Source organism: Homo sapiens, chromosome 3 (genome assembly GCF_000001405.40).
Source record: "Homo sapiens chromosome 3, GRCh38.p14 Primary Assembly".
In the NCBI taxonomy this organism is placed as follows: Eukaryota; Metazoa; Chordata; class Mammalia; order Primates; family Hominidae; genus Homo; species Homo sapiens.
In genome coordinates this window covers 82,753,171-82,765,218 of record NC_000003.12, presented here as the reverse complement: position 1 = coordinate 82,765,218, position 12,048 = coordinate 82,753,171, and the positions used below count along the sequence as shown (strand labels likewise).

Sequence of the window (12,048 nt, the reverse complement as noted above, 5' to 3'; positions counted from 1 at the left end):
CTAGCAATTTGGATACATGTATTTTTTCACAAATATATTCAGCATTTTCTCTGTCAGTTAAAATTTCAAAATAAAACATCATAACAAAAACAGTTTAATGCAACCCACTACAAATCCATTCAAGCGCTCATGTTTTGGAGGAATTAAATAGGGATGTCCAATGGTAATCATTTCCCAAACTGTTGAATTAAGAAAAAAATAAAAGGCAACTTGATAGAAGTGGTGCTGGCTGGAAAAGAGTAAATCGAAAGATAATTTGCTGATTTCATTTTAGGCAAATGATACTTATTTAAATTAATAGACTAAATGCATTTTAGCAGTTTATAAAGATTTTTCTCTATTAAACAGCCCATCACCCACAAAAGAAACAATACACTAAGTAACTTAATTATAAAATGTCAAAGCTTAAGAGCAAGGATTCACAAAGCGCCATTATGAGATTTCAATAGCACTGAGACCTGCTCAGGTTAACCTGCCAACTATGTCCAATTTGCAAGTAAAATTTGCCCTCTTTCCTAATCAACTGCTCTAAAGCTGATTATTTCCCATTTATTTAATGCTATCTGCCAGGCCTTCCAAATGTTTTAGTCCTTATTTTAGGACCATCTCAGACTCATTAGCCTTTTGCTTGACAGTGCCAAAGTGACTGTCTGACAGCCTGAAACTTGGAGATGTTATGCCATTGAGTGTCAAGATCTTTCCAGGAAAAGGTGCTTTTAAAAAAAAGTGTATTTAAATAATGCCAATTTGAGCAGCAAGGTAACAAAGCCAAATATTGCATATTATGTCTGATATGCCAGAATATAATTTCTTCAAATGCAGCTAGAATAAAATGATTGTTTTCCATGATTCTGAAAGCAACACCCCTTTTGAAATTTTTTAATCCTTTTTACAATAATCTATTATCTTTGATTAGATGAACATGAAATTATTTTTATTATTACTGCAAATGATCAAGTAGCAGCAATTTTATATGGTTTAACCTAAGAACCGTATAATAGGTTGTTATTACGGCAACACATTTTTTTATGTCATAGATAAATTTTAAGTTCACAAGGTTGAAATTAAATCTATTAATTTTTAACTAATTATTTTACATTTGTCAAATAATCAGAATAAACTCATCAAGAATTTGATTTAACAAGGACTAGACTAGTAATGCAGGACAAAAAGAAAGGCTTCCCTATTCAGTGGCTTAAACATACTAAATGACCAAAAAGTCCATTTTAATATTGATCTAACCCTGTAAAAATTAGCTATACGCTTAAGTCGTTTGGATTAGGCTTTCGTGACATTTTGGGCATCACTGGAATTCAGCTTGGGTTGGTAACCTAAATTATTTATGTCATTTCTCAAGGAAAACCCAAACCTTTCCAATCTATTTTGATCTGGAAGACAGCATATCAATTGGAGAGAGATAGAGAAACTTTTATATTATGTCATAAATTTTCATAAAAGAACAATAACAATTCCATTGCCTTATGATTTTGTGCTAGGCACTTTGAGTACAATTATGTCAAAATTCAGAAATGTTAAAGAACTTATCTGCAGTCACACAGGTAATTTTCTGAGAAGGAAATAAAACCAACTGATTTGACAGTGCTGTCTCTCACCTTTATATCACACTGTTTTCTTCCTAGTCTCATTGTATAAATCCTTATTTTTTATTACTGTTATTTGACATAAAGAGATAAAATAAAATCTCTATTAATTGACCTAACAGCTACTATGTACATAAACATAATTAAAATCACTTCTGACACAACCAGAAAAGCACTTTACACATGAGATTATTAATTCTGAAAGTTTATTTTGTGGTCTTCTTAAATGCAGCATACTCTTAAGTTCAATAGTGAAACACATTTAGACTAAAATTTCTGGTTATATATATTGGTCAGGGTTCTCTAAAGGGGCAAAACTAATAGGATATATGTATATATAAAGGGGAGTTTATTAGGAGTATTGACTCACACGATCACAAGGTGAAGTCCCACATAGGCGTCTGCAAGCTTAGGAACCAGGAAGGCAGTCTCGGTCCCAAAACCTTAAAAGTAGGGAAGCCAACAGTGCAACCTTCAGTCTGTGGCTGAAGGCCCTAGAGCCACTGGCAAATGACTGGTGTAAGTCCAAGAATCCAAAAGTTGAAGAACTTGGAGTCCAATGTTTGAAGGCAGAAGGCATCCAGTACAGGAGAAAGATGAAGGCTGGAAGCCTCAGCAAGTCTGTTCTTTCCACTATTTTTCTGCCTGCTTTTATTCCAGCTGCACTGGCAGCTGATTAGATGGTGCCCCCTCAGATTGAGGGTGAGTCTGCCTCTCCCAGTCCACTGATTCAAATGTTAATCTCCTTTGGCAACACCCTCAAAGACACACCCAAGAACAATACTGTGCATCCTTCAGTCCAATCAATTTGACACTCAATATTAATCATCACAAGTACACTCGTTGTCAGCTTGAATCCATAAACATTTCCTGAAATTATATATAATTTTCAAATAAAGCAAATAAGATCACAATTACACAGAACACAAAACAACTATCCTTCGTACAACCAGAAGCACACTAATCTTTAACCTAAATGTGATTACATGAAGTTAACAACAGTTAAATGCTGATATGAAGTCAATAAATCTTATGTCACATGATAAAGGAAAAAGAAAGAAAATGAAATGAAGATATGTTCTTAGTACAAATGTATACATGCACAAAAGTGTTCTTAACAAAACAAGGAGAAAATACTTCTGACAATTACTGTCCCCGTTTCTGCAACCGGTCACAAGGTTGTAGCTGGTATTGATGACTACCTTCTTCTACTACCCATTCTATATTCCCTTTACCTTCAGCAAGCACCACAGAAGGTCATGGATTTTTACCTGGTGGAGTGACCCAAACTTTCATTCCTGAAGGATCTGGACCATTTGTAGTTCTGCCTGGATTGGGCTGTTATAGTTTCCCATTGAACTTAGTCACAGAGCATGGTAATACTGTAAGATGCCCTAAGAGATCTCCTGTATTCCATATATTCTTCCTTACCTCCATTGTGGAGCAGTAGACTGATTTCATCTTGATAGTCCAGGTCAATATCCCCAGCCAACACTGTAACTCCCTTCCTAGCCTGTTGACTTAGAGATAAGAGAAGGCCAAAGTGAACAGGTGGCAATTTTAACTTCCAGTTTAATGAAAGTATTGTTGTGTCCTGTGGTGGCAGCATTCCTCCCTCTGGAAAGAAGAGGTCTAGGCCAGCAGAACATAATGTCACGGGAACAGGAGGCAAGAATTTTGCTAGTGGGTCTGTGATAGTTAATACTGAGTGTTAACTTGATTGGATTGAAGGATACAAAGTATTGTTCCTGGGTGTGTCTGTGAGGGTGTTGCCAAAGGAAATTAACATTTGAGTCAGTGGGCTAGGAAAGGCTGACCCACCCTTAACCTGGGTGGGCACAGTCTAATCAGCTGCCAGTGCAGTTAGAATATAAAGCAGGCAGGAAAATGTGAAAAGAGAGACTGTCCTAGCCTCTCAGCCTACATCTTTCTCCAGCACTTGATGAGTCCTGCTCTCGAACATTGGATTCCAAGTTCTTCAGTTTTGGAACTCAGACTGGCTCTCCTTTCTCCTCAGCCTGCAGACAGCCTATTGTGGGAACTTGTGATCATGTGAGTTAGTACTTAATAAATTCCCCTTTTTGTATATGTCTATTTCTTTAGTTCTGTCCCACTAGAGAACCTTGACTAATACAGGGTCACTAGAGGTGATGGTGAGTGGTTCCACTTCCGCCCCTTGATTCCTGGACCCATCAATCCTGGCTATGGGAGAAACAGTACCATATATTGGACACTGATCCAGAGCATACACAGCCTTCAGGAGAAGTTAGCCTCAGCCTTGCAAAGTATTGCCACCTAGATTGGCATTATAATTATGACTTCATAAGGGCATTCCACCGTTCTATCCATCCAGCTGTTTCAGGATGATGGGGAACATGGTAAGGCCAGGCCATATAGGAGAGTTGAATGGGGATGTGGTGGGAATCACCACCCCTGCGTCTTTCAAGTCCTTGATGGTGGCACTAATCTCCACAATTCCTTCAGGGATGCAATACTGTTTTTGATTTACTATTTTTCTAGGTAGAGACGGCTCTAATGGCTTCCATTTGACCTTTTCTGCCATAATAGCTCTCACCCTACCAGTCAGGGAGCCAGTGTGGGGTTCCGCCAACTGCTAAATATGTCTATGCCAATTTTACATTCTGGGACTGGGGAAATGACCACAGGATGAGTCCAGGGACCAACTGGACCCACTGTAAATCGGACCTAAGCTGAAACTCAGTTAATTAATTCCCTGACCTCCATCAGCCCCTACTTTAACGGGAGGACCACAGTGACAATTGGGGCCCCCTGGAATCAGTGTCAGCTCAGAGACAGACATTCCCCGAAATGTCTGATCATTTTCCTTTTCCCCAGTGCACAGTTACCCTGGTAAAAGGCCGGAGGTTTCCCTGGGGAAGGATGGGAGAAAGATTAACAGTATAAACTGTCGATAACATAGTGGGGTCCTTCCTCAAGGGGACCTGGCCTCCCCTTCATTCAAGGCGTTCTGGGTCTATAAACTGGTTCAAGTATGGAAATGGATTGATGGGGCTGTGATTTTTTATTTTTATAAATCAAAATATACTTTTGTTGACTCAACCTGGAAGTTTTCTGCTTATACAAATTAAGTAGGAATGCAGTAAGTTTCCTATCAATTTCACTTCTAGGAATATTGCGATAAATTAGCCAATGCCAGAGCTCTACATGAGTCAGACAATTCTGATTGCTGCTTTGCCTCTGCTATCCATTAAGGTAATGATGCCCACCTTGCCTTTGATGTTTGTGTGTCACCATTTGGTCCCTGCCACCTTGAGATCCAATTATTCGCATTGTATTTAAATTTTCTTATTGAGTAGCTGCAGTTCCCACTGTAAGATCTGGCATACAGAAAAAAGCAATCACAGAGCTCTTCAAGCATGCAGTTGCTCCCCTCACAAATCTGTTTCACAAAGTATTGGTGAAGGGTATGTCTTTGGATTCTCCCAGGCGGGATGAGTAGGTCTAAAGTGACTAATCCACACTGGCATTCAAATCTCCCTTTGCATCCCTTCCTTTACATTAAACCCAGGGAGATAGGACATTTTCAGCTCACTCACAGTGGGCCATCTTTTGATCCTTATTTCACCTAACCAAGCAAATAAACTACTAGAACCTTTTTTAACTTCCTGAGCTGCAGCATTCAATGCAGAGCCCCTGCTTAGTGAGACTGTATCAGTAAATTCAGCCTGATCCAATGTTACGTTCCTTCCACTATTATCCCACACCCTTGACATCCATTCCCATGCCTGTTCTTCAGATTTCTGCTTATATAAATTAGAAAACTCAGGCAATTCTTTTGGAGTGTAGTGTATCTCTTTGTGGGCCACAATATGAATCTCCCCTCTAGGATCCGGACAGGACTTGAGTCTAGTTATAGGTCTAGAAGAAAACAGGCGTGTAGAGGGTGGGTCTTGAGGAAAAGCAGCATTGCCTTGACTGGTAACTGCCTCAGGGGAGGCCATCACTGCTGCCTCAGGCAACACATGGTTAACCTCCTCAGTCAAAGATGGAAAGGCTGATTGCAGTGTGGGTGGGGGAGGGGATGTTGCCCCCACTGTGGGTGGGCAGAATGTTTTTTCTGGGAAAAAAGGCTCACCAGAGTTTACAAGCTCAGTGTCCCCAGCTTCATCAGGGCCCTCCTAAACATTCCCCATTCCAAATTGCAGGGTCCCATTCTTTTCCATTCTATGTCCTCACTTCAACAGTAGACACCTGGTGAGACTGAGCATGCACCTTTCATTGCAGGTCAGCCACTCGCATGATAAGAGCTTGTGTCTGACTTTCCATAATTTCAGCCCTTTGCTACAGGAGGTGAGACTCTCACTCAGGGCAATCTTAGGAGACTTGAGGCTCAGTATGTGCTTCTGGAGCCAGCAGACAGAATCCCTGAGTTCACCTTTTCCTTTAGTCACGTTGTCCAGCAAACTTAGGAGCAACCAACCAACTTCATTATATTCCTTGGTTATCCGCATGTGGTCAAAGGTATTATGTATAGAGACGCTAAACTCCTTGCCTCTCATGAAAGGTGAATCAGGAGTATCAAATACATTTGTTTTGCATAGTTCTTTAAACATTTCACACCAAGGACTATCAGTGTTCTCCATACTATTAGAAGTAGGGTCCTTAGAACTTTTGGGTTTAATCATATTTAGCATCCAACTCCAGAAACCCCAAAACCAACTAAAGAACTCTAAACTTCTGTTCCTCTAGAACCATTCCCAGTACCAGAATCTATATTAGTCAGGGTTCTCAAAGGGACAGAACTAGCAGGATATGTGTATATATCAAGAGGAGTTTATTAGAAAAATTTTCTCACATGATCACAAGGTGAAGTCCCTCAATAGGCCATCTGCAGGCTAAGAAGCAAGGAAGCCAGTCCAAGTCCCAAAACTCTAAAAGTAGAGAAGCTGACAGTGCAGCCTTTAGTCAAGCTGAAGGCTTGAAAGCCCCGTCAAATCACTTGTGTAAGTCCAAGAGTCCAAAGCTGAAGAACTTGGAGTCTGATGTTCAAGGGCAGGAAACATCCAGCAAAGAAGAAAGATAAAGGCAGGAAGACTCAGCAAGTCTGCTCTTTCCAGGTTCTTCTGCCTGCTTTGTTTGGGCCCTGCTGGAAGCCAGTTAGATTGTGCCCACCCAGATTAAGGGTGGGCCTGTCTCCCAGTCCACTGATTCAAATGTTAATCTCCTTTGGCAATACCCTCAAAGACACACCCGAAAACAGTACTTTGCATCTTTCAATACAATACAGTTCATCTTTGCATCTTTCAATCCAATACAGTTGTCACTCAGTATTAACTATCACATTATATAAATTGTGGATCATGTCTCAATGATGTATTGATATATAACTTCAGTGACTAGATAAAAGTCACTGGTTGAAACATGTTATCAAAAAATTACTTTATATGGGAAAGTAAATATATTTCGAATGGAAAATCTGTGAGTATAATTATCAGTCATCTAGGATACAAGTATATCCTAATCAATAAGAGGGAGACAATGAAGGACTAGTATAAGTTCAAGATGCCTTGGTTAGTTGTATTAAAGAGCCTAAGAACATAATCCCAAAACAGCTATTTCCATATGGTTCTAAGATGGCTAAAACATAAACGTCACCAGATAACACTGAAAATACATGTGATTTTTATCAGCAGATAATTTAAATTTTAACATTTGAACAAATGTTAAAATAGATAAAACAAATTTAGGAAAACGAAGAAAGGTAGCCAGGTTATTGTAAGAAGTTTTTAAACAATAAAACTTGCCACCAATTTTAAGCGAAATACTTAAGTGGAATTTGAAAAAGTGAAAGTTGTTAACATAGTTCAACTAGATTTCTCTCTGTGTATATATTATGTGTGTATAGACATATCTATATATTTACATGTAATCTTTAGAGTAGAGGGAAAGTTAATGATCAAAACCTCTTTCAAAAATTGATCAATACCTGAGAAGCCTTTTAAATGAAAGCCAATAAATGACATTCAACAAAAACATGAATTGTATAAACATTGATTGGTATACTAACATCACTTGGTAATATAGTTACAATGTCTGAACTATAAAATTGACCAAAAAAGTCACAGACAGCCTTTAACGGTTTAAAGGCAATGGCCCAGAGAAATTGGCTCCAACATCATAAACTCTTAAAAATATGGCTTTTTTTTTTTTACAACTCTGTTGTGCTTGCATTCTATTTCATTTTTCTTTTCCCCTCCCATTTCATGACTGCTTAGAATTGTGTCATGGTTTTATTTTCCTTATGTGAAAATTACCTACAATGCTAGATGTTTTTTTGGTATCTCCTACCCTTTTCTTTTTTTTTTTTTTTTTTTTTTTTTTGTCATCGCTAGATACATGCTATCAGGTCCTAAAAAAGAGAAAAGGTTACAGTCAAACTCTCCTTTCTACTCCCTGCATAAGCATTATAGATAGGCTTACAGAAAGTTCAGCCTGGAGAACTGTGACCACCCTGCTCTCACACTGAGACCAAAGTTATCTTCTCAGTAAGCAGAAAACTTCTGCTACTCCTTTTTTCTCTCTATGTGGGGAGAAACCTCTCTAGTGAGCCTTGTGAACCTGACCTTCCAGCATGACAAGACAATCTTCAGGATACCATGCAGCTTAGGCGGCTAAAGCCAGCGCTTTGCACTGTCTGGGATTTCACCCTTTGACACAGCATACTATCTTTAAAGTTGAGAAATGTAGTCTTACGACAATGTTGGCTTTTCTTCGAATTAGTTCAAGTGATGTCTTTTGTCTTTCTTAATTTTAATGGCAGTCAAAATATTTTTTATCTTAGGAACTTGATGCTCCACCTACCAATTTATAAGAAGATATATAGCTTTAGCAAATGTTCTCTTCTCCTTTTTTCCTCCTTATTTGCTATAATAATCAAAAACATTAAAAATACTATTAAAGAGGCTTCTGCTTTCAGTGAAGATGAGGTAAAAGGGGTCAGATTTCTATATCTGCCTAAAACAAACAAATAATTAAAAAACGGACAAAATATATAATACAATGGTTCTCAGGACATTGGACATCAAGCAACAAAATACATTGAATGCTTAGATATAAGAAAAAAAATGAAGTGAGCCCTAATATTGATTTCTGTCTTTGGAGAGATTCAGGAATGGCATCAGAAGAAGGAACCTACGCAGAGTTCAGGGGTTACAATAACATGAAGAGAGAGAGTTAAAAGTGTAGCAAACTAAGGTAGATGCGGTTGCAGGATATATTAATAGTACCAAATACTAAAAAGCCACACAGGAAAAGAACTCCAAAGATCTTCAGAATGTTCCCCTAAAGTATTCAGCAGAATGTTGATCAACACACTGCATATGAAGAAGCTATCTGAAAACATGGAAGGAACTATCTCCAAGGATTAAAGGGAACAGTTTCTAGTACTGGCAAAGGAAGGCTTCATAAGTATGCAGTATGTCATAGGACATTGGAAAAGTACTCAGAATGATCTTACCTCAGTAGTAGGAAATAATAAACCCTAGACTAGGCTTTGCTCTGTTCCTGCATAACAAATATTAAAAGCAAGAAGCAAAATAATTAATAAGTCCAATTAATTTAACCACATCCCAGATTAAAGCTCAATAATACATGTAAAAATGCAAAATATCCATTACCCAAAAAGTAAAATTTAAAATGGCTACCATGCAGTGAAATATTAACAAAAAGGCAAAAAATAAATAAAAATATAAGCCCATAGTTCAGAGAATAATCATTCAAAATTAACCCAGAACTGACAGATATGTTAGAATTCACAATCAAGAACAAAGAAAGTTATTTAATCTGTATCTATATGTTCAAAAATCAAGTCGAGACATGAAAAAAATTAAAGAACAAATTGAACATTTAAAAATGAAAACTACAATTTCTAATGTGGCAATCTATGGACAGCATTAACACCAAATAGGACATTACAGAAGAAAATATTTTCTTAAATGAACTTAAAGAAATAGCAATAGAATGAACCTAAATAAGCTGTGGGATGGCATCAAATGGCTTAGACACATGCAATTCGAGCCTTCAAAGAAATGAGAGCAGAAGAAAAAGTGACTGAATATGTCTAGATTTGATTAAAAACAATAAACCAAGTTTTAAGAAGCTAAACAACTTCAAAGCACAAAAAATCTGCAGAAAACGGCATCAAACTATCACATAACCAAATTGCTTAAAAGCAGCCAGGAAGGGAAAATCTTAAAAGTATTCTGAGAAAAAAGACTCAGAACACAAAAAGAAACAAAGGTAAGAATTACAGCAGATATATTTCTTTTTTTAAAAAAAACAGAATATCATATATTTTATTATTATTTGTAAACTTTGTGCCACACATCTTCTAGTGTTAATAAATTTTATAATAAAGGTAGACGTATGTGTGTATATATGATATATATATGCGTATATATACAGCAGATATATTTCATCAGAAACAATGGCAACAAAGCAGGGAAGTGTATTTAAGGTCCAGAAAGAAAACAAAAATAACTATGAATCTAGGATTGCCAATCCAGAGAAACCATCTTTCAAAGTGAAGGGTAAGTGAGGACTTTATAAGGGATAGAAATCTAAAAAAAAGTATTAATAACAAAACCACACTACAAGAAATGCTAAAGAAGTCCTTCAGTGTGAAACGTATAGTATATTGGATAGATATGTAGACATAAACGAGCAATGAAGAGCACCATAAATGGCAACTGTATTGAAAAATATATAATCTTTTGTTATTATTTAAATCTCTTTAAAATATAACCCATTAAAGAAAAATAATAAAAGTGTAGTTAGAGTTAATAACGCACATAGGACTAAAATATATGAAAACAACAGCATAGAGACACAGAGTGGAGAAATGGAATTATACTATTTAAGTATTCTTAAAGTTGTATGATAATACTTTCAGGAAAACTATGATAAATTAAAGACACATACTAAACTAGAGTTTCTCAACCTTAGCATTACTGACTGAATGATTCTTCACCATGAGGAGCTGGCTTATGTATTGCGTGACATTTGGCAGCATCCCTGAATTCTACCAACTTAACACTATTAGCATGTCCTATCGTATGTGACAACCATGTCTCCAGACATAGCCAAATATCCTGTGGTGGTACAAAATTACCGCTGATCAAAAATCACTTTTAGAAACGCTAAGGCAATTATTAAAATATAGAATTATACCTAACAGCTAATAAAGGACTAAGAATTAAAAATGAAACCATAAAAATACAAATGGAAAAGAAAGTACAAGAAAAGAGAAAAAGGAAACAAAGTACATGTTGGACAAATACGAAACAAATGCTGAAATGATAGACTTAAAAGTAAACACATCCATGATCATACTAAATATAAATGGTATAAATATGGAAATTACAAGGGACAGATTATCAGATAGTATGGAGAAGCAAAAATCAACTATATGCCACCTGTAAGAAACACTTAAAATAAAATAATACATTTGTTTAAAAGTAAGAGAATTTTAAAAATATGTCAAGAAAATACTATTTTTTAAAAGAAAGAATACATGAAATATAGGTTTCAGAGCAATGAATATTCCCAGCAATAAAGAAGGCCATTTCATAATGATAGAGGGGTCAATTCATCAAGAAACCACAACAATGATAAATGATCATGTAGCTGAAAATAGAGCTACAAAATACATAAAACAAAACCTGATAGAACTACAAAAACAAATTGACAAATCTAAAATTATTATGGAAGATTTCAATACCTCTCTTTCAAAGACTGATAGAACAAGTAGACAAAAAATCAGTGAGGATATAGATTTAAACGTTATCAACCAACTATCTAACCAATAATACAAGAATAGATATTCTTTTCAAATCCATATACAATATTTATCAGGATAACCCATATTTGGGTCATAAAACAAGTCAATGTAATATAATTAAAGTCAATTTATGCTCTCTGATCAAAATTAAATTAAAATAGAATTCCATTAATTTTTTAAGCCTCAAATATTTGGTAATTTAATGTTAAATTAATTAAATTCTAAATATCTTATGGTCAAAAATGATAAATTATTAAGTATTTAGTAATTTAAACCAAATTTTTAAACTAAATGGAGATTTTAAAAATGACAACATATTAAAATTTGTGTGATGCTGCTGAATCAGTAGTTATAAGAAAAAGTATACTATTAAACATCTGTTTTAGAAAAAATAAAGATCTGAAATGAATAACATCGGCTTCTAACTTAAGGCACTAAGACAGATGTGTAACTTAAGCCCAAACTAAGCAAAGCAAGACAAAATGAAGAGATAAAAAATAGAGTAACAAAAGAACCAAAATATCATACAGTTGGTTATCTGTATTCCCAGATTCTGTATCTGTAGATTTGCCAAGTTGAGGATCAAAAGTTTTCAGAAGAAACAATAAAAAATAATACATCAATAAA

At 36.0% G+C, this 12,048-nt stretch overlaps 1 annotated feature.

The window, feature by feature from the left end:
• Positions 8,154–8,354: a silencer, noted in NCBI's record as "peak4728 fragment used in MPRA reporter construct". NCBI's record gives its function as "represses an SCP1 promoter by STARR-seq MPRAs in K562 erythroleukemia cells {active_cell/tissue: K562}" and the evidence as "EXISTENCE:reporter gene assay evidence [ECO:0000049][PMID:32103011]".